The 25,214-nt window shown below is 34.8% G+C and overlaps 1 protein-coding gene across 9 annotated transcripts in view; it reads right to left on the bottom strand.

Annotated features, from left to right (window-relative positions):
* The window catches only part of NKAIN2 (sodium/potassium transporting ATPase interacting 2), a 1,021,776-nt gene that overhangs the window by 698,460 nt on the left and 298,102 nt on the right, over nucleotides 1–25,214 (bottom strand). Inside the window, exon 2 of one of the 9 annotated variants that reach the window (NM_001300737.2) lies at nucleotides 5,240–5,303. The exons of the other annotated variants lie outside the window; for them this stretch is intronic. Within the exon in view, the coding sequence (NP_001287666.1) occupies nucleotides 5,240–5,290 (51 nt within the window). The 5' untranslated portion in view covers nucleotides 5,291–5,303. The remainder of the gene's footprint in view (nucleotides 1–5,239; nucleotides 5,304–25,214) is intronic. 9 annotated transcript variants of the gene reach the window in all.

The raw sequence follows: 25,214 nt of genomic DNA, 5'->3' as shown, positions 1-25,214 counted from the left end.
AGTCTTACCTGGAAGTCATTTCTGAATAGTTCTTACATCACTGATGCCCAAATGTTAAGTCTATAACACATAATTCAGAACTTACTTATATAACATTTTCTTCTCTCTCTCTCTATATATATATGTATTATTCTAATTCAGAAACATATCATATCATATCATCCTTCATAGCTGTGAAACTGATCTTGATTTTTAAAAATAACTCAGGAGCACGTCTATTGTGTTGTTTTTTGAGACAGGGTCTCATTCTGTCACCCAGGCTGGAGTGCAGTGGCATGGCTCACTGCAGCCTCAACTTCCTGGTCTCAAGCAGTCTTCTCGCTTTAGTCCCCAGAGTAGCTGGGACTACAGGCACATGCTACCACACCCAGCTAATTTTTGTATTTTTTGTAGAGACAGGGTTTTGCCATGTTGCCCAGGCTTGCATTGAATTTTCACCATGTTGCCATGTCACTGTGTTGCCCAGACTGGGCTCAAGTGATCCTCTCACCTTGGCCTCCCAAAATGCTGGGATTACAGGTGTGAGCTACAGTGCCCAGCTATTTGTCTCTCTGTAATGAAGGATTGGGCAATACTGAACGGCTAAATCAGTGTCCTCCAGTAGGGATGATTGGTTCTCATTGACATTTGGAAGAGGTGGCTTTCAATAAGACCATGGACAATTCATCAATAGTAGATAGAGTTAAGTTGCAGATAGATGTTTAAATGTGATGATGAAAGTTTGTGAAAGTTTTAGAATACCTTCAATTTTCTCAGTGAGGCAAGAACCAAGTTAGCCAAGTAAGAGGGAGAATGAAGGAAGAGATGGCAGAGATTTGAATAGTCAAGAAAAAAATGTCTACTGTATAAGTAGGAAATACAATGGACTAGGGAACTGTGGCATATTTGCTACAAGGTGAGGACAAGAGGAAGCGAAAACATGATAGGATTAGATTCCAGGTGTGACTGAAATATTTTTGGAGCTAGAGTATTAGAGGGAGAAAGATAGACAGACAGTATTGTGGGTGGAAATTAGGCAATTTGAAATTGAGAATACAGAGTGGTTGCAGGAAATGATCATGGGCTGGGTGCCTGAGTTAGGATGAAGGACAGAAAATTGAAGGGCAGTGGGTCAGGGAGACCCACCCGAGAAGCCAGATAATTAGAAAGATAATCTACCACAATGTTGAAATCATCAGTAATTAAAACAAGAGTAGTGGTGAAGAGGGTGATGATGAGCCAAGAGCGAAACACTTCAAGAACTCTAGGGGAGTGTGACCTGGAAGGGAACAAAGGAAGGATGACAAGTGGCTTGTGAATGCTCCTGAGAATGCAGTGTTGTCAGGGGAGAGTAGTGAGGTGAAATAATGTTCACAGAAGAGGATGAAAACACAGTAGATTTTTTCCAATGATTATCTTTTGTGTTCTGGCAAAAATTATGCATAACACTTTAAAAACCTGTGAAATAAGACTCCTATGCTTCTGTAAAAGGTTCTAGAGCTTAAAACTGCTCTTGAATTGTTAGTGCCTGCTGAAGCATAGTACAGATAACATGTGGCTTGGAAAGCAGAGGGGTATATATCTTTATTACAACATTTAATTAAAAGAAATGTTTTAGAATGCTGTTTTTTATTCATAATAATTGGCCATATTAAAAGGATGGCTCTGGAGGGGAATCATTTGTGCCCTATTTAATTTTTATCAGCCCATACTTTTCCCTACCATCCCATTAGTCATTTTGACTTAACTGTGTTTGCCTTCTTAAAATATGGAGCAGATAAAAATTGATGTCTCATAAACACATATTAAAGAGTAATTTGAGATTTATAGAAGAGAATAAAGAGGAACAGAGTAATGGCCACTACAGACAATGTTTCATGCAGGTAAAATGAAATAATCCACATCCACAGTGTGCACTCGTGTGCATGTATGTTTATACATGCAAGCCCCCAGAGACAGAAAGAGAGAACTGACTTGAAACTGAATCCTGAAAAGCTATTGTAAAATCCTCATAAAATAATCAAACATACTCTTGTATACATTTGTTTATTTATGGAAAGGACTTTTATCTATATCCTGTATAGCCACTGTTATTTAAAAATATTTAGACTTGGCAACCCAGCAGGTAGAACAAGACTCATCTATAGGTGATGTTCAAATAAGTACGGCCTCCTATTTGCAAATGTCAATCAAATTGAAAATAATTTTTCAGTGACACAATGAAATTTGTGCACTTATTCAAGTTCATATTTACCTATGACCTGTTATTTGAATAAGTGCAGAAATGGACTCTACAATATTAGCTCTAGTTACAAGTACATAGAGGAAAAGGCGATAGTGGCCACACTGAAAAGAATAGCCAACTGCACACAATGATGAACAGTTCAGATCCATCAACCTCTACCTCTGTAATACTTCCAAAGCAAATATCATCTGCATATCTTGATTCAGGAGAACAATATTTACTAAATCATGCAGTGATGCATAAGAGACACAAAGAAGAAAAAACAATACAAAGACAGGCGTAATACTAATAATTATTTATTTTTAATTCTATTCTGCTATGGTTCACAAAGTGAGAAATGATCCTATATGTAGAAATGAGTAGGAGACATCTTTCAAAATTCACAGTTTTGTCTTGTTTAACATTTGTCTCCTCTTCTATTGTGCAAAGAATTAGGCTGAATGATTAACATTTTGTAAAAGGAAAAAAGAAGTAGCTATATTAATCTGCAGGACTATTATTCATAACAAATAATAGATTTGTCATTTTGAAATTCTAGATACTTTATATGATTCAAGTTCCCATTAACAATTTCCCATTAATGCTGTGTTTAACTGGAAGAGCAATAATTTATATACTCTTCATGAATGACATTAAAAATAAGTGATTTATTGAGGTAGCTACTGGAAATCAAGAAAAGACAATGAAGCTGCATATTGTGATAGACAGTTGCAGGTGCTATAAAATCTTCTCTTTCACAATTATAAACAAAAATAAAACATCTTTTCCAGTGTAATGTTTCAACTGAACCCATGCTTTTTAAAATTAGAAATTAATAAAACATGAGATTAATAGGTACCATTATTTTGTAGAAAATCAATACTTGTCAACATTTTCAGACCAAGCAAGTATGACAGCATCATAGCTGCATCGTCTAGTGTGAAAGGCAGTAATAAAGTAATGCACATGGAAGACTGTGATCACTCATCCTAAAAGGCCAGTGATATTGATGAATCAGTATCCTGCATTATGATAACAACTGGACAATCCAATTAACCAAAGTCGAGTCTTAGATTTCTCTCTCTCTCTCAATGTCTCTTAACATTGATTAGGCAATCAACTTTGTTTTAAAATGCAGTGGTATCTCCTTGCAGTTTTGAGTGTTTCTGAGTCATCCAACTATATAGAGGAAAGGATAAAACAGGCTAAAGAGCCCAGTTCCTGCCATTTGGTAGTATATGATTCAGGAGGTCAATATTTACTTATAACATAACTAAGACCACAAAGTCATTATGAGAATTAAAATGAGAAGCTACTTTATTATGTCATCATCCAATCTCAAAAGTAGGTTCCATGTCATTTTTTTATCAATCACTAGATGACTGATACAAATCTCTGAAATGACAGTCTTAGATATTGCTATGAATGCGCAACAAATGCACATCTATGCAAAAACCTCTTAAGGTTCATAAACTATCTAGGATATAATATCAGAAAAAGGAAAATCACCAAAAAATAGTATGAAAAAAGAATACTGTCTCTGGGAAAAACAAGAATTAGCTACTCTTTACATTTTGGAATTTATTTTTGGTTCTTTTTTTGGTCTCAGTGGCTTTCTCTCTCACCCACGTAATCATGTTGTCCTAAGCTCCTGCCTCCTTCTCCCCTCCAATGCTCTAGATTTCCATCCTCCTTTCAGGAGCCTATTAGAGCTGTCTTCCATCAGAGAGTCAGTCAAGCATTCACTGAGCACCTATTATTTGCACAGCACCAGGAATTTTTAAGGTGACCTTTAACACATTAATCCAATGGCTAAAGGCAGTGAATTTCCAGGTACCTCGGCAATCCAGTAACAGCTTACATTTATACTAGATATAATTCTAAATAACAGAGCTAAAAAAGGAACCTTATTTTGAAATGTGATGCCTAACACTTATCACAATAGAGATTAAAATCACAGGAAAAATGATTTATACTACAGATAATTTTAACTAAATTAATTTCTAATCACTTATTGGCCTTTTGGCTACAAGCAAGTGTATTAAATTAATTTCTAAAAATTCTATGCAATTCTCTTATATTTATTTCCTTTCTGTTTTGTTGTTGTTGTTGTTGTTTTTTAACATGAATGTAGACACCAGATACTTTGGGGGAAGAGAATAATAAACCATCATGCTATGGAAACTTCTTCAACCAGGGGCAAAGAGTTTTATCAATTTGGACTATCTTATTAAACTTTAAGGACCAGAGACTCTCAAGAAAATGTAAACTTGTGACAATGATTTAAAATTATGGGGAGTCTTTCTGCTGTTTTCAGAAATACTATGAAATTTGAGGTTGCTATTATCCATTGGAATTTGTACAATTTCCTTTGTTAAAATTTCCAAGCATCTAGGACCACCTGAGCTCATGGTAATACAGTATCACAAAATGCAGTGACAAGTTACAAATATGATAATTAGTTCTACTTTCCCCTTGTTGAGCTTTATATGACAATAAATTTCCTTTAAAACGATAGCCTATAAAACTCTCCTCTCTGAAGTCAGTCTAATAACATGGATAATTTGAGTCTAACTTGTATAAAAGCAGCAATTATTTCACTGAATAAAACTATTGAACATATGCTTGCTTATCTACCCAGACTAAACATCTTGTTTTAAAGATAACATGTTCACAATGTTCATTTTAAATGGAAATAATTAAAAATATATATATACTACGTGATCTCAACTTTATATCAAAAAACATGTAAAGCAGACGAATGGACAGTTCAAATTATGTCATTATAGGTAAATGGGCTATTATGGGTGACTTTAAGTAATCTATTTTGTACCAACATTTTCCAAGTTGTCTTCAATACCATGCATCATTTTCAGAGCCAGAAAAATACATATTATTTACATAAAATAAAACTTTTTTCTGGATGAAAATGAAACAATCTTAGTGAAACATGAACACTGATGTATGGTCATGAGTTCTTCAAATATATATTACCCTGTAGACACAAATGGAAAAATATTACTCTGAAAAACTCACGGTTAAGATATTTGTGGGACAATATAATAAGAGAAACCTAATGATCCCCATCCATCTTCAGTACCTGTAAATATACCAGAGGGACAAATAAGGCATGATTAGAGGGTGACCCATTTAAAGGCAACCCCAACTAATTCAACAAGGCTTGGAACTTGACCCGCATAATTTAGAGCTTCTAAAATAAACTTCACAGCATGCTAAAATATTAATTTGCTTCCCAGATCTACCAACCCTTGCCCTTTACCTAGCTACCTAGAAAAACTTATCTTTTTCTTTCATTGTATCAACCCCTACATCTGAATAGTGAGCAATCCAGACAGACTTAATCATAAGACACATTTCAATTCTGATAGTTCCTGAAATCTGAACGTGTCTTCCAAAAATTGGCCTGTTTGATATGCTTATCTTCTTTCTGAAAAACTCTGATTGCATCAATGATGTGTATTATTATAATTAATAGTATCTTGGTATCAGTGAAATACAACATGTATGTATACATATATTTAGTTATGTATAGATATACCTATGTACTATATACTATAAATATATATACTTACATAGTATAATCATCAATTATGGGTGGTGATATTTTATAATTATTTTGTGTATTTCTTCTCCATCAACCTACTGGAAAACAAATGGCTTCTTACAACTTACAGATCATTGCTGGACCTCACTGAAAATCGTCTCAACACTCTGTCATATTTTTTCCCCTTAATAAATTAAAAGTTTGTACCTCTTGGGCAACATTATACACAAGATGGCAGGGCAAGGTGAGGAGTGATTACATGAGTTCAAAGGGAGTTTAGGCATATCTACTTCTCTACTAACCACGGTTAAATTTCTATCCGTTTGCAGAAAAGATTTCAGGAACATTCGGTTTAGCTTTTATTGATCTTTATTTAGCCTTCACTGTCCTTAAATATAGAACAGTTTAGGACTAATCAGTACCCTCAGGGACTGGTAAAAGAAATCTGTGCCTTAATAGAACCATGAGTATCAGTTTCTTTAGAAAAACTTTCATCAAATAGTATACGGTTTTAAAACTGAAAAGCATCAAGTTTCATGACCTCTTCTTTGTAAATCTTATAAATTGGTGAATCTACTGAATTAGCCAGCCATATGTTCCAGCAAATACAAAATAAATCTAACGTATACTTTTCTACTTGTATTAAGGTTTTACATTTAAAAGCTCAAGTGATTTTCAACAGGCAGTTGATATTTATATATCATTACTACAGGAAGAAACACGGTCCAAGATCAATCTAATTTAGATATAATTTAGAGCATATGTTTCCAACTCTTACTGCATGAAGTCAAGGCAGTGAAATCCAGCAGCTAAGAGTAAGGGTAAAAGACTTTAGTTGTCTTACTTGCCAGCAAGTTATTTAGCTTCACTCTACCTCATTTTTATCATTTATGGAAGAGGGATAAGACAATCCACTTTACAGAATTTTTGTGCAGATTAAATAAAATAACCTAGCTAAGTGCTTACCTGTTGCCTATAAGTTTTCAATAAATCTTAAGTATATTACTCTTGATACTATTATTATCCACTAATGTTATAAAGTAGGTTCAATTATCAGGTAATTGGTGGATACCATTTGCAACAAATATATCTGGGATGTTTATTTTAAAATTACAAGATCTGTGAGGATTTAAAGAGCATTGTTTCCAAACCACATTCCATGGGAAAAATGTGGTCAGTAGTTAAGTGGTCATGACATATAGGGCATTAAAATAAAATTTTTAAAAATGTATTTGTCAAAATGAGTTTGAGATTGCTGTATGGTGTACTCTTATCTTGGAAACTGAAACTGTTCATTAATATATTAAACGATAATGAGAGGCCCACAGAAGACACCTGTTTTCTTTGCTTCCTTAAGCATACCTAAGCTTACTTAACTAGAGAATTCATTTATCACAGAGCTACTAATAACCCCCTGACTTTACGTTACTCTGGGATCCTAACAAGAACAACATAATAGAAAAAAAACAAAGCAGGCCAGGTATACAAAAGAAAAAGAAAAGATATATACATGGGACCAAGAAGGATTTGTTTCTTATGGACACTACTAAAGCAACACAGCAGGACAAGCTGGGCTGTGAATGGTAGCAGAGCCCAGTCTGAGCTCCAGGGTGACAGGTGTCTGGTAGCAGCTGTGCACACTGGAGGCCACATGCCTTGCTCACATGGACTGTTTTAATTCAATGCAGCAGGCCCAGGGCAGTCAGATCTACTTGTTTTTCTTTTCCCTAAAATGTATTTTTTCATGTAAAGTTACCATTTTTTTTCTCATTTGCATCACAGATGCTTATACAGTCCATGTTTCACAGGACAAAGCAAATACGTCTGTGAGTTAGATACAGTCCCATATGCAAGAGTTTGGGAGTTCTGGCATGTTCTTTAGGGCCCAAACTATGATCTATCGATTCATATCAATCATTCATCCAATGGCTAAACATTTTGCCTTATAGCAACCCTGTGAGGAATAAATTATTATGCCCAACTTCCTGATAAGGAGATTTAGTTAAAAATAGGTGAGAAAAACTTGCTCATGTTCACAGATCTGGTAGGTGGGTGATCATTCCCAGGTGCACATGATTTATTATTGTACTTTCCATGAGTCACATAGGAACATACATTTGTTCTGGAGAATGCAGAATTTGGGGCAAGGGGGAAATGTTCCCCGATTAATTACACTCATTCATCCTTCCTTATTCAGAGGTGAGGTAACTCTGGTTAAATTTTTTACTTTTTAAATGAAGATATCAACCACTTTCTGGTTGGGGAGCTATATCATATAGTACCCTTACATGGTAATAGAATGTCTTTCAGGTCTTTAATTTCAAAGATGTACTTGAATTTCTAATCTTTGTTTTCAAATATTTATTAAAAATTTGCTCTGAGAAGTTACAGACTAGATGAATCTCTAATGTGAATAAAATCCTATTTCTCTAGATCAGATTTGGCAAACGACAGTCCATGAACCAAATCTGGCTCACCATCTAACTGCTTAAAGTTTTATTGGTACACCCATTCATTTACACATTACCTATGGTTTCTTTCATGCTACAAAGGCAGAATTGAGAGGTAGAGATGGAGAACATATGACCTCCAAAACCAAAATATTTACTCCGGCCTGTACAGGATGACTTTGCCAATTTACTCCTCTATATATTCTAAGTTTTTATCCCAGTAACAAAATGACACAATTATAGACCTCTGTCCTCAGAGATTGCTGTTTTCAGATGATCACTGTTTTATAAACGTGCTTTTTACTGAGTTTTCATGTTGCTGTCACTCCTGGGCTTATATTACATGTAGACAATAAGAAGAATGCCTACAATAATTTTTATTGTACTCACTGGAGAGGGTATCATTGAGGATGCCGTTAACCTCACCACAGTGCTCCCTACGAGAACTGGAATGCAAAAATTGTTTTTGTTTTCTCCCGAGGTATTAGTATTAATAGCATGACCACTTCAAATCTTATAATCATTTGTTTTCTCTTCATTTAGAAGTGAAAAAATTATTTAAAGACAATACTTGCAATATTCCAATTTACATTGCAGAGCATCCCTTTCTACTTTCTAAATTTAATCTCGGCTTCATTTGAGTTTCCTAGTGTTGTTTCCTTTTTATTCCGATTTTTTAATTCATTTTATGTTATTGCAATGTGTGCATATTTTTAGCCATACCTCCTCTTTTTAAATTAAGGTTGGATATAAATAAATGAGAGTATCAGTTCTAAAGAAAAAGACCTGAAAGAAAAGACATATGAACCTTCTGCCCTTGTGACAAGAATCTATTCCTATGATAGCATCATGCCTTATCCCCAGGGCTCTGTTTAAACCTCCAGAATACAAGAAGGAAAGAAAATACTCTAATACTCTGATGTCACAAAGACCTCAGTTGAAAAAAATCTGCAGCTATCTACAGGGCTGTATCTTGAGGAGAAAGAGAACCAGATTTCCTTAGTTTAGTTAGCAAACCTCCTAAGGTATGCCATCTTTCCTGATAGCTTTTTTTTTTTTTCTGCTTTAACTGTTTTAATGTCTGCACATGGGAGTTTACTCAATGTGATGTTATAATGACAGATTTTATAAAATTGAATAAATATTATATGATTATAAAAAATAATATAATGAATCTAGGCACAAAATAAGAAAAGCTATTGAATCACTGCATAACACAAGTTAAATCATAAATCATAATGAAATAATGTGAACTTAATTTGAATGTAATAACCAATTACATCTACATATTTTCTTTTTTTATTATTATTATTATACTTTAAGTTTTAGGGTACATGTGCACAACGTGCAGGTTTGTTACATATGTTAAGACCTTTTACTTAGAGATCAAATGAGATTTAGGACAGAGTATATGCCTTAATGGTAGCTTTATATGACAATGCAAAATAAAGTGAAAGACGGCATGATGCCAATATGGAATTATACCGATGCAACTAAAATTACAACAGAGTAGAACACAGGCAGATGCTCAGGTCAGCTTTCTGTCTCATTCATTGCCTGTGCTGACCATTTTGCCTTGCTGCGTTCTTCCTGTACAATCAAAAATATTGAGAAAGATGCTATCAATCAAACAGATCATTTAGGAAGGATGGCTTTACCTTTTGCTTAGATATAGGTAATTGGGTACCACTGAAATTCATCTGTGATCCTACCTATGGCATGCAAATACAATATTAATTTTTCTCCTGGACCTCCCCACAGAATTTTTCTATGAAATAAGTTTTTCTACCTTAACCAAAATTGAATTCACTTCAAATTTGCTATTGAAAAATATGAAATTGATTCATCCCACCTTTACCTCTCATGCCTTTCTTGGTGGGAAGGCAAATAATTAGAAAGGTTAATAATTCAAAGTAAAAAAGCATTTTATAGCTAATTACTTTAAGAAATAAGCAGAATTTTATATCCATCCCGTATTCTCCTGTACATACTTCCAAAATGATCTGTACCTAATGCCTTCACTACTTGGCTATCTGTGAAAGAGTATATCTATGGCTTAGTGTTTTTCTTAAATTATTTTTTCTGCATCATTCATAAACATTAACTAAATAAGATTACATATTATCTAGATCTTTACCACTTCCTTTACTCTCATCTTTAAACATGATTATATAATGGCTATGGTTACATGTAGCCGGCATTCAGTAATTAGAAAACTATGAAGCTTACAAGTTACCGGATGTTTTGATGTTAGAAATAGCTGCTTCATAGCACTTTCGTGAAGTGCCACTTCTTTGCTCTCCACTAAATTTACTTAAGGTTAAAGTCCAGCTTTCTGGTGCATATTCACACAAAAAAACAAAAACAAAAACAAAAACAATGTTTTTTTCAGCAGTATTATTGCATCCAAGTTTTTAGGATCCTTCATAAGAAAATCTGCATTAAAGTAAAAACATCTTGAATTCAAGATGCTTTTAAATGATAAAGAATTATTACCATAAAGTTACAATACAATGTCACATTAATCAACATTACACAAACATCTTAGAAGCATGCTGTTCCCGCGATAGCCTAATCTGACTTCAAGGAAGAACTCTTACAAATAAAGATAGAATGCACTGACAAAATTCACCCATAAACCAGAAGGTACAAGTGTGTGAACTACTTTACAACACAGCCAAAAGAGCAACTTAGAGCAAACTGCTGAAGGAACCCCAGGTGGAGTAATTAGGATACATGGTATCTCTAACATATTCTTTATGTAGACTTAATTTTGTTACTAATAGTCAAAAGACATGGCATCAGTGAAGCAAATGAAGAATAACGTTTTATCTGAAAAACTGATATTAACCCAATAAGAATTTTGTTACTGATCTCTAAGAGCTGAACGTGCTTTGAAAAGTTATTCAGAGAAGGCATTAGCTATCTTCTAACTATAATAAAATATAATATTTTATATAAAAAAGCATTTGATATTTAGTAAAAAGTATGTGTTTTCAAAAATATATTTTTGTAGATTTGGATTATGTGAAAGATACATAGCACACTAAGACACCAACATTATTCAAAACAAAAAGTTGAGGAGCTACAGTTTTTAATTGCTACATATCACTATACATACCAAAACCCTTTTTTCACATTTTAATATTTCTGAAATCAGAATGAGTTTTAAAAATGAAGGCATATCATAATTATAATGGCAGTTTGCTACATAAAATAATGGTATATGGTGTAACTGATGGTGTCTTAGAATCCAGAAAATGTGATGTCTTCACCATAAAGTTAACTCGTTTACTGATTTTCAAAATTTTTTAAGGATTACATTGCTGATTAAGCAGTGCTATCAATCACTAAAATATAAAAATTCTTAATACTGCCAAGCAGGGGTATCTCTACATTCTCCTGTCACTACTGCTCAAGGAGGAATATAAAATGCCACTCATTTACTTTTCCTTAATTTTTTTTTCTCAAGGGAAATATATGAAATTGTCTGTCTGATAACACTATAGTCATGTGATAAGGCTTGAACTTCGCTCATAATCCTAGTCTCTCTTCCTTTGATATGCTCAATATAGAATATGTGAAGGCACATGACATTTAAGGTGTGGCTGACCTATGCTTGTAAAGAGGAGCAGCCTTTCTTACTTTGGTTGCTGAAATTATTTAATACAGATAAGGACTAACCATGTTTTTTGTAAGTCCTTTTTGAAAAAATTTATTGGAAATCATTAAGAATCTAATGGCAAAGCTTTACTAAGTTCACAGTCAACTAAATCCATTAAATTCCATATATATAGCCTAACGTTAAATAATTATTTCCCTGATGCATTTAATATATTACACCTCAATACAAAACTTCCTTTTTTAATCTTAGTAAATGACATATTGACAGATTTAGCCTATTATTCTTGCTTGTCAAATACATACACACACACATTTTTAAAAAGCTTTTCCAATTGCATATCACTTGTTCCAACATGCTTCCAACAAACTGACCTGTCTCTTAAATTCCTTTCTTCCTGTGATCTTGTCCTTCAGCCTAATAGAGCCACTGTCTCAATCATCATTCTCCAGACCTTTACATTACTAATAACTAGAACTGAATATAATTATAGCTTCAAGCATCCCACCCTCTGACCACAACCTTTTGTTCCCTAAGAATGTAGCAGAATCCTCCCTTTGGGCAATATCAGGCACAATTAATCACTACTTCTCTATTGAAAACTCTCCTTTATTGGGCTTCTGAGTGTCACATTCTCTCGTTTCTTCTGTCCTCTCTGGCTACTTAATCTCAAAATCTTTTTCTGGTTTCTTTTAATGGGTCCAATTATGGAGGAGTCCAGGGCTTAGTTCTCAGCTCTTTTCTACTTAAAATTCCTCCCTTAGTGATCTCACCAAATCTCATGGCTTTATTAACATCTATATGCTGATGATTTTCAAATAGATATTTCCCTGAACTTAAACTCATATAGCCAACCTCCTACTTGACATCTCTACTTGAACTTATCTAATAGGAATATAAAATTAACACACCTAATACTGAATTTTTTATATTCCTTTTCCTGCCCCCACCTGCATATATTTCAGTCATCCCCATTTCTGTTAATGGACAATACTACTTTTTAATTGATAAGGCCAAATGTCCCTTGTGCCATCCTTTTTACCACTCTTTCCCTTGAAACAATATCCAATCATCATAAACCTACTCAATGTCCATAAAAAATAAATCCAGAAAATGCTAATTAAGACCTCATTAAAATTTTACTTCACACATAGCACTACTGCTGACATTAAAAAGGCTGACAACACAACACGTTAGCTAGAATGCAGAGCAACTTGACATCTCATATATTGCTAGTCAGACTGAAAATCAAACATTTTGAAAAACTGGAAGATACCTTACAGTGTTAAATACATGCCTACTCTGTATGCCAACAATTGTATTCCTAGTATTTACCCAAGAGACATAAAAACATATGCCTACAAAACTAATCATACAAGAATGTAGCAGAGTGATGTCAGCAAGATGGCAGAACAGGAAATCCTAGACTCTCCTTCTTCATACAAGCATATCGATTCAGCCACAATTGATGGAAGAATTCCCTGTGTGGGAAATCAGAAACTAATTGAAAGGTTCCTGCATCCTGGGAGAATGCAAAACCAGACTCACTGAAGCTGACAGAGAGATATGAAACACCCTCTCACCAGACACCCTTGTCTCAGTGTGGTTCCCTAAGATCAGAAAGAGATGCCCAAGCTCCTGGTTTCACCCAGGGGAGGTAAGGGCTTGGATCCCATGTTCAGTTCCCTTGCATTTCCAAGGAAGCAGGGTGGGGAGTCGGGGCGGGGGGACACAGAGAACTGGCCTTTGCCTTGCTAGCCTTGAAGCTCTGATGGGCCCAGCACAGTCTAGACACCTGAGGAAGAATGCAGGCAACATCTTGGGCTGGTACAGGCCATTGATACTCCCCACTGCTCAGCACAGAGTGAGCAAACGAACAAACAAAAAAAATCCCAATTTTTTTTCAGCTTTCTTCTTGGAAAGGAAAGAGTTGATCTGTGTATCCAATGCTACAATATCTCTAGGGCTTCCTAAACAACTAGCTTCTGCCTTGTGAGTCCTGAAGCTCTGATGGAGATGGCACAATCTAGCCACCTGAGGAAAAATAGAAACAGTGGGTTATAGACACCATAGCTTCAGTTTATCACAGAGTAAGCTGACAAAAGCCTTCCCTTCCTGTGGGAGGAAAAGAGTTGATAGAGGCCACCAGAATCCCTGGGTAGGTTGATTGGTGGGAGCCTTCTGTACAAGTCAAGTCAGTAAAGACTGATAGAGGTGTCTGCTTTGTCTAATGTGCAGATACCAACAGAGAGAGTCAAGAAAAATGAAGAATCCGACTAAGATGCTCCAAAAAAAGGAACAAGATAAACTTCCAGAAATCAACCCTAATGAAATGGTTAACCTGACAATGAATTAAAAATAACTTTCATAAGGTTGAGAGCCCAATGAAAGTAAGAATTTCAACAAAGAAAGAGAAAATATTACAAAGTACTAAACCAAAATCATGAAGCTGAAGAACACAAGTGACCTGAAAAATGCACTAAAGGGGTTCAGCAGCAGACTAGATCAAGCAGAAGAAAGTATCAGCGAACTGGAATAGAAGTCACTGGAAATAACTCGGAGGAGTAAAAAGAGAAAAAAAGAATAGAAAAAAATTTAAAGAAAGCTTAAGAAATTTATGGAATACCAGCAAGCAGACCAATATACAAATTATGGAAGTCTCTTAATGATAATAGAGAAAAACAACCAGAAAACTTATTCAAAGAAATAATTGTTGAAGGCTTCACAAATCTGGGGAAGTTAATGAACATCCATATCCACAAATCCAAAGAACATCAATAAGACAAATTCAAAGAAATACACACTGAGGCACATTATAATCAAATTATCAAAAGTCAAAGACAAACGAGAATTTTGAATTCATCAAGAAAATGTGACCAGTCCCATACAAGGAAATATCCATGAGACTATGAGTAAATTTATCAACAGAAACCATGTAGGGCAGAAGATGAGGTGATATATTCAAAGTGCTGAAGGAAAAAGAAAAATAAAACTGTCATCAAATAATACTCCACCTGGCAAAAACTGTCCTTTAAAAATGAAAGAGAGATAAAGACTTTTCCAAACAAAATAAATTGAGGGAGATCATCAACACCGGACCTGCCTTACAAGAAATGTTAAGTGGTGTTCTTCAATTCAAAATGAAAAGGCATTAAACAGCAACATGACAGCATAAGAAAGTATAAAACTGGTTGAGAAAAGTAAATATATACACAAATATAAAATATTGTATTATTGTAATGGTGGTGGGTAAAACACATTTAATTCTAGCATAAAAGTTAAAAGAAAAAATTATTTTGAAAACTATAAAGATACAAACACAATTATTAAAAGATAAATAATATGAATAGATTTTGAAAATAATAACATAAAGTATGTTCTGGGGAGGAAGTTAAATTGTAAGTTTTTGTATGCAATTCAACTTATTAGCATAAAGTAGACAGTTGTAAGATATTTTATGTAAGTAGCAAGGTAACCACACACACACACATACAAATCTGTAAAATTTACACAAAACAACAAGAACAAAAAACTAATTGAGGCATAACAATACCAAAAAAAACCCCAACAAAACCCAATGGAAAACAAGAGAGGAAGACATACAAAAGTACTGTAAGAATAATAAGAAACAACTAACAAAATGTCAATAGCAAATCCTTTCCTATCAATAATTACTTTAAATGGATTAAACTCTCTAATCAAAAGACATAGAGTGACTGAACAGATTAAAAAAAAGAAACTTTAGATTTAAGGACACACATTGGCTGAAAGTGAAGGGATAGAAAATGATATCCCATATATTATAAATCATAACCAAAAGAGAGTAGGGGTACATCAGACAAATGACCATTAAGTCAAAAACTATTTCAGAGACAAAGAAAAAGCTTTTATAATGATAAAAGGGTCAATGCGTCAAGAAGATAGGGCCATGATAAACATATATATGCACTCAACATCAGAGCACCTCGATATATAAAGCAAACATTGACAGAACTGAAAGGAGAAATAGACCACAATACAATAATAGCAGGAGACTTCACACCTCATTTTCAATAATGGACACAACATCCAGACAGATCGATAAGAAAACAGATAATCTGAATAACATTAAAGAAAAAATGGACCTGACATTTAAAGAGCATTCTACCAAACAGGAGCAGAATACACACTCTTCTCAGACATGCATCTTTCTCCAGAGTATTTCATATGTTAGATCACATAAGAGACTAGTATGAAAAATTATACCCTAACAAATTACATAATCCAGAATAAATGAACAAATTGCTAGAAACACACATATCAAAACTACATCATAAAGAAATAGAATCAGTAATCAAACACCTCTCAAAAAATAAAAGCCCAGGATAAGATGACTTCACTACTAAATTCTACCAAATATTTAAAATATGAAATAGAAAATGAGGGAACTGGATATATACCCAAAGGAAAATAAATGATTGTACCAAAAATACACATACACTTGCATGTCCATCTCAGCGCTATTCACAATAGCAAAGACACGGACTCAATCTAGGTGCCCACTCATGGTGGGTTGGATAAAGAAAATGTGGTACATAAACACCATGGAATATTATGCAGCCATGAAAAAGAATGAAATCATGTCTTTTGCAGCAACACGGATGCAGATGGAGGCCATTATCCTAAGCAAATTAATGCAAGAACAGAAAACCAAAAATTACATGTTCTTACTGATACGTGGGAGCTAAATGTTGAGTACACTTGGATATAAATATGCAAACAACAGACACTAGGGACTACTAAAGGAGGGAAGAAGGAGATGTGGGGTGAAAAACTACCTACTGGTTATTATGCTCATCACACAGGGTCATCTGTACCTCAAACCTCAGCATCATAAAATATACCCATGCAAAAAATCCGTACATGCACTCCCTGAAACTAAAATAAAAGTTGAAATTATTTTTAAAAAGAAAAGAGAAAAAAGCAGCAGAAACCATTTAATCAAGTACACAATTTTTCCTTATTATGAGTATATGCTGAATTTTGTCAAATACTTTTTATGTGTCTTTTGAAATGATCAGAGGGTTTTTGTCCTTTCTGTTAATGTGATGCATCACATTTATTGATGTGCCTGTGTCAAATTATCTTTACATCCCTGGGATAAACTGCACTCGATAATAGTAAAATATTGTTTCAATGTGCTGTTGGAAAAAAAAAAAAAAGAAAATGAGGGAACATTTACAAACTCAATTCTTGAGGCTGGTAATTATCCTGATATCAAAGCCAGGCAAAGAAACCACAAGAAAACTACACACCAATATCTATGATGGATATAGATGCAAAAATTTTCAAAAAATACTAGCAAATGGAATCCCACAGCCCATTAAAGGGATCATAGATGATGATTATGCGGCATTTATTCCTGTGATGCAAGGATGTTCAACATGCCCAAATCAGTTAACGTGATACAGCAAATCAACAGAATAAAGGATAAAAATCACAGGATCATCTCAACATATGCACAAAAAGAATTTGGCAAAATTCAACACCTTCTTATGATAAAAACCCTCGAAAATGAGAAGTAAAGGAAATTACCTGAATATAACAAGAGTGATATATGAAAAGTCCACAACTAATATCAGACTTAACAAGAACAGAAAGCTTGTCTCTACAATCAGGAATGAGGCAAGAATGCCACTCTCACCACTTCTTTCAGAATATTACTAGAAGTTCTCTCCAGAGCAACTGTGCCAGAAAAAGAAACTGATGACATCAAAAACAGAAAGAACTAAAATATTCCGACTCCATCTTACATGATCGTATATATGTATTCATATATACACATAATCTTATACATAGACAACACTAAAGTCTATAGACACATAGACAAATGATCTTAGACAACATTAGAGACTCCAGAAAAAGCACTGTTAGAACAAATAAATTCATTTAGTAAAGTTGCAGGATACAAAATCAACCAGCAAAAATCAGTTTCATTTCTGTATACTAGCAAAAAACTATCTGAAAAGGTAATTAGGCAAACAGTGTCATTTACAGGTGCACCACAAAGAATAAAATATGTAAGAATAAACTAAGGAGGTGAAAGACTTGTTTACAAAAAAACACTGCATTGATGAGAGAAATTTTAAAAAACACAGCAAATAGACATCAAAAGTCCAAAGACTGGAAGACTTAATATTGTTAAAATGTCCAACCACCCAAATCAATATGCAGAATCAATGCAATCCCTATCAAAATTCCAATGGCATAATTTACAGAAATAGGAAATATAATCCTAAAATTCACTAGAAACCCACAACAGGCCATGAAAAGCCAAAATCAATCCTGAGAAAGAAAAATAAATTTTGAGGCCTCAGACTTCAAAATACAGTACTTACTGATTCCAAAATACATGACAATGTTAAAATAATCAAAATAGTATGGTACTGGCATAAAGATAGACATATAAACCAATATTACAAAACAGAGAGTCCAGAAATAAACTCATCCATATGTGGTCAACTGATCTTTGACAAGATTGCCAGTGTATCTAATCAGGAAAGAATAGCCTCTTAAACAAATGGTGGTAGGAAAACTAGTATCCACATGCAAAAGATTGAAATTAAACCCTATCTTATATGATAGACAAAAATCAACTTAAAATGAATTAATAGCTTAAATGGAATACCTGAAACTGTAAAACCCTTAGAAGAAAACATAGGGAGGAAGCTCCTTGATATTTGGTCTAGGCAATGAGTTATTGGATATGACACCAAAAACACAGACATTAAACACTAAAAGAGACAAGTAAGACTATATCAAACTAAGAAGCTTCTGCAGAACAGAGGAAATAATCAACAAAGTGAAAGAAATCTACTGTATGGAAATGTCTTGAATGAGAGAAAATTTTTACAAACTATATATCCAATAAAAGTTTAACATCTAAAATATATAAGGAATCACTACAAATAAATAGCCACACCTCTTGCCATATTTCACCCAAGTAAAATATGGGCAAAGGATTTCAATAGATGTTTCTTCAGAGACGATATACACATGAACACCGTGTATATGAAAAGATGCTCAATATCACTAATCATCAGGAAAGGTAAATTAAAACCTATTCATATATTACCTTGTACCTATTAGGATGTCTATTACCAAGAAACAAATAATAACAAGTATTGATAAAGAGGTGGAGATATTGGAACTCTTGTACACTGTGGATGGGAATGTAAAACAGTGCATCTTCTATGGCAAACAGTGTGGGGGTTCCTTGAAAAATTATAAGTACCAAACAATCCAAATATCCCATTTCTAGGCATTTATCCAAAAGAATTAAAATAGGGATCTCAAAGAGATATTTGACCTCACATGTCCATTGCAACATTACTTATAATAGCCAAGATGTGAAAACAGCTTAAAGGTCCATTGATGGATGAGTAGGAAAAACATGTGATATACATACAATGGAATATTATGTAGACTTAAAAAAGAAGGAAATCCTATCCATGTGACAACATGAATGAACTCTGAACACCTTACGCAGGGTGAAATAAGCCAGGCAGAAAAGGGCAGATACTTATATGAGGAATCTAAAATAGTAAAACTCCTAGAAGCAGAGGGTAGAATGGTGGTTGCTGGAGGCTGAAAGAGAGGTGGGGAAATAAGAGATTGCTGTTCAATGAGTGTAAAATTTCAGTTATGTAAGATGAATACGTCCTAGAGATCTGCATGCAACGTTGTGCCTATAGTTAACAACACTGTACTGTACACTGAAATATTTGCTAAGATTGTAGACCTCATGTTAAGTCTTTTTTAAACCATAATATATCATAAAAAACAGTGCCTGGTACACAGTATGAATAATGTAAATTTTACCTCAATAATGAACAAATATCCAGAAATTGAGCTACCACCTCAATAATTACTGTTATCATCACCTTTTGGATGCATTACTGTAGTAGCTCTCCTTACTTCCATCATTTATTTTTCCTACAATTGGTTTTCTACCCTATCAACTAGAATCACACCATCTAAAAAACAAGTAAAGTCATGTAACACCTTTGTTCTGAATACTTCATTGACTAACTCACAAGTAAAGCCAACATCTTTTCATGATTTGCAAAGCTCTGCGGGTACGGCCTCACTCTGTTCCTCTCTGACATCACATCTGGCTTACTTAGCTCCAGTCACACTTGATGTTTCTTGCCTCAGGCCTTTGCACTTGTTCCCTCTGCTCTTCCCCCATATATCTAAATAATGTACTCCCTCATCTGTGAAGTCTTAGTCACATGTCAACAACTCCCGAGGCCTTACCTGACTACCCTATTAAAAATTGTGAACCCTTGGCACTTTCTACCCACTTCATTCGTTTTATTAATAGTGCCTATCACCAATATGGTATACAGTGCCTATCTCTAATATGGTATATGTTTTGTTTGTCCTTTTTGTGTGTGAGTGACTCTCTTTCCACATTTTAATGTAAAAATCTATGAAGGCAATACATTTTTTGTGTTTTGTTCACTGCTGCATTTCATGTCCTAAGATAGTGCCTGGCACACATAGGAGGTACTCTGTAAATATGAATTTCTGTGTAAGTGAATGGATAGAGCATAAATATGATCACTCTGCAACCAATGTCCTCATTCTGTTATTTATTAAATTGTTGAGGTAGACAGAGCCAAGGACAGTCATAAAGCACATCACCAGATAAATCCCTCCAGCTTTACCTAAATAGAATAATGAACACTTATTTTAGATGCATTTGCCAAGCTTAAATCATTCCGCCTTTCCTAAGGTAACAAAATCAGCTCTGTAAGTTTTTATCCAAGTAAGACTTTCATCTTAGTACAAAGTCAAAGCATTTATCGATTGCTGCACTGCTACCATTAAGTGAATTAATCTCAATATGATATCATAGATACAAACCTCTATCTTATTTCATCTTTAATTAAAACATACTACAATAATAGTGTTTTCCCTAACAGTAATAACAAAAAAATCATAAACTCTTAAAGAACAAACATTTTCTGTGTTTTCTACCCTTCTTCTCATTCCAGGTTGTCACGTCATCAATTTACTGCTAATAGAAGCCACCAACTACTCAGTCATGTTAACTAGTGTCACTGTAACTCTTCACAAGCACTATGTAGTAGGGAAACTCAGATGGAATCTTGATTTAAATAAATCATTTAAACACAGTCAAAAAGTACCATAAAGTTCAAATAAATATTCCATTTATTGGTTATATAGCATGTTCTAGCATAGCATATTTCTCCCAGTATTGGGCATAACATAGTGGGTAATCACATGCTACTTGAGTTCAAATCCCTTTTCTACCATTTGTAAACTGTAGGATCCTGGGAAAATTACTCAAATTCCATCTGCCTTAATTTTCCCATGTATAAAATAGTGATTTAAAAAAGCACCTTCCTCATAAGGTTACAGAGATAATTCAGTGAGATAACAAATCTAAAGGGTATAAATGTTTGCTATCATTGTTACTTATATGTAATAGCAAAGGAAGTAGCACGATTATGTTTTTCTGTCCTTATGAATTCCCTCTTACAACCTGATGACTTGGCCTTAAAAAATGTCAGAATAATGAAACACTGATGAATTCTGTGACTGTGTAAGTTAAATAATGCTTGATGTAATTGGATTTATATTTCTACTAAATATTTGGTTGCCATTTACAACACTGGAGATGACTGGCTATGAGCCCCTTAAATCCATCTTTTTATAAAAATCAATCTATATTGGAATACAAAAGTCTCTGTGCTTCTCCAGAGATCAGAGATGGAAGTCTCTTACATGTGTCTCTCTCTGCCCAATTTATTTGGTCACACTGTAGTCTCAACTACAGTCTTGTTGATCATTCTCTCCCAGACACAATGCCAGAGAACCACTGATGCACAGGCCCTTGTTCCTGCAGGGCTGCCACCACCATTAATACAAAAACTGAGGCTGGCGCTCTCCTCTTATAACTACACCCGGACTCTACCACTGGCCCCAGGGGATCATTTCAGCCCCTGAACCCACTGACGTGCAGATCTCCAAAGATTAGGTCAGTCAAAGATTGCTGTCAGCCCATCCTGTCCACAAAAGCTCCTCTGAAAGGCAAACACTTGCTGCTGTGCTGTGATTTAGAAGTTTTATACTTGGACCCATACCCAGGAAACATGAGATTTTTCCTGTTCAAATATTTATACCTGCCTGGTTCACTTTACCTGTTGCCACACACGGCTATATCATCCTGCTGACTATGACAGACTTCATTCTTTATGACGAGTTCAGCCCTGCCTATAATCTTGCTTTTTTCACAGTACCTCACAACCGCATCCAATTAGATATGTTGTACCTATTCAAAGTCCAACATTGACAGAAGTCTTGTCTTTTCCACTGCCAGAGATGTCTCAGCCTCCACATAAATCAGCCCATCCAGATGGGTTTTGAGGAGGAAGTATTGTCTAAACCTACACACTAGCTACCTGTGTCATAGCATTGGACCAGTGGGATATCCTGCTGCATAGAAAAAATGCCAGTGACCTCCCGTGGCTATTATAGATTAATGCTGTGCAGTAACTATAGAACTGAGTAGAGATAAAAAGAAGTAATCTCATTTAGAACAAAATTAATTTCTCAGAATGATCATTAGTATGAGCACTATATGCATTCATGAATCTCCAACATTATGTTTCCTTCCCTTTATTTTAGATGCTTTTAAAACACCAAAATAAATTTTCCTTTTCCTAGCATTAGAGCAATATGTGTGTGTGTATATTGCATTCATGTGTACATATATAAAATAAGGGAATTTGGAGAATACATATAAGTGCAAAAGATGAAAATTAAAAAGTCCATAATCCCCTAACCCATAATCATTGAAAAAGATATTCTTCACTTGCTATAACATAAAAATATACCATTCTTGATGAGAAAAAAATTCAGATAAGCGTTTCAAGTTTTACACCACCAAAATATCATCATCATCATCAACTACCACCTCAGCAACACAAACATACCTCTTCTGTAAAAACATAAAGCCACATGACATGGCCATATCAGAGTTCAAGCTTAATTCAAAGTTTTTCCATGAAGATACTGAATCTGAAACTTAGCAAGACAAAAAAGGTTATAAATTTGGATGAGAAGCATTTCTTCACCGTTTCATATTGCTATGTCTGGAGAAATAGGGGAGCGAAGGGGTAAACAGGTAAAGAACCAGGTTCAGAATTTTTTCTTCTGTTTTTATGTTATTTATTTATTTTTTGAGATGGAGTCTCGCTCTGTCGCTCAGGCTGGAGTGCAGTGGCGCAATCTCAAGCTCACTGCAAGCTCCACCTCCCAGGTTCACACCATTGTCCCGCCTCAGCCTCCTGAGTACTGGGACTATAGGCTCCTGCCACCATGCCTAGCTAATTTTTTGTATTTTTAGTAGAGACGGGGTTTCACCGTGTTAGCCAGGATGGTCTCGATCTCCTGATCTCATGATCCGCCCACCTCGGCCTCTCAAAGTGCTGGGATTACAGGCATGAGCCACCGCACCCGGCCCCAGGTTCAGAATTTTTAAATGACTATCATATAACTAAAAAAGGAGACATCAGCTTAGGCTACTTCTACTTTCTTTATTATACTAATATTCATCACTTTACAAATTACAAAAAAACCTTTTAATGCTTCCTAGTCAGTGAATGCTTGCTTAAAAAGTGGTATAATGATTTCTGTGATTCTAAGATTATTTCATTTAGTAATAATAACTTCCATTCAAATACATTTGAAGGCATTATTAGAAAAATAATTCCATGATTACAAGGTCAGACATTCTTTACCTCTAATCACACTCACCAGATAGTTCTCATTAGGTTATAGCACTAAAGATACTGATTGTAAAATGCTGTGAAGTATTATAGTAACAGACTCTAGAAGATGCAGATGTAGTTTTTCAAATTGCACAGGACTGCTATATAGTTCACTTTTTCATTGGTTTTCTAGAAAATTTAATGTGAACATGGGGAAATGCTTCCAAGTAAATCCCCACGTTGATAATATTAAGGAAAGTTCTTTTCGATTCACGCTCTATTTTTCAGGGTATCAAATTGCTTTGTAGATTATTTTTAACAACATTACTCAAAATGGGACCAGTAGCAAGATCTAGTTTCCTCTCATTTCAGTCTGTCTAAATATCTGAAAGTTTGCTTTCATATATAATTAATTCTAACTGTAAACCCTTTACCACATTTTTATTTTACAGATAAGTAACCTAAAAATCATCATTTGTTCAGGTCACAAAAAAACTTATATGGAATTAGGATTAGAACTCTTAGTCATCGATTTTCAGTCTACTGTTTTCTGAGTACAATGTCACACAATTAATACGTGTTTCCAGTCAATGACAGATTTTTGATTCAAGCAGATAATCGATCGATCAAAAAACAAGATGTTTTGATCACATGTCTAGCCAAACACTGTTAGGCCTCCTAGAAGAAAAAAGCAACAGATTGCCCCCCTTACAAGTGTTTTAAAAAAACAAGAATTACATATTTGAAACATTTAGAGACTATGAAGCAAGGATTGTTTAAACACTCAATTACATTTTTCTAGCTGCATTACAAAATTTTTAAAAAGGAAAAAATCAATGTGATGTGGAAAAGTCATAAAGGGCTCTTCGAAGAAGCACAATACATTCACAAAAGAGGACACACTTCAGGGAATTGTCCTGTGCACAGAGCCACATACTTCATTTGAGCATCACTATAGATCAATACAGATGAATCTAAAACAGAAACATAAGCCCACCAACAAACATAAGAAAATGCCTTGTACTGTTATCGCAACCTTCTCTCTTGGGGCATCGAACGACTTACTCAGAATGTCACCCCACCTCCAGACTCTATCTTCCTTTGTACCTCACATAAATTCACCTTTTAGATGAGACTATTCGTTTTCCAAGATAAGTTAACACTTGCTGAAAGCCTTTGTGTCCAAACTCCTGCCCCTTCATTTCTGATGGGAGCTGAAGCCTGGAATGAAGTCAGAATGGCAAACCCAATAGTGAGCACCTAGTTTAGGCCCAGGCATTTTTACGGCCATCAGATCAAGGAAGCTGATGCTAAGGTGACCCAGATGGTCCATACCAGTGAAGGGGCAGTGGTCCCCGCACCACATCATGTTGTCCTTTTCCTGTGCTTCAGCAGCTCCATTTCCTATGTACTAAGAGACTGTTACATTCTGTATTCCACCACTACCCTCCTCTCAGGTGACTTTACCTGGCCCATGCCAGTTCCTTGAAGTTCGATCTGGTACCAAAATTGTCTCTTGGTAGAGGTCTTGCCACCTGCGTGAGTGTTGGGCCATCATTTGGATATTCTCCCTGCCTGCTCCAGTATCTTG

Source organism: Homo sapiens, chromosome 6 (assembly GCF_000001405.40).
Source record: "Homo sapiens chromosome 6, GRCh38.p14 Primary Assembly".
In the NCBI taxonomy this organism is placed as follows: domain Eukaryota; kingdom Metazoa; phylum Chordata; class Mammalia; order Primates; family Hominidae; genus Homo; species Homo sapiens.
This window is presented reverse-complemented; position numbering and strand designations above follow the sequence as displayed.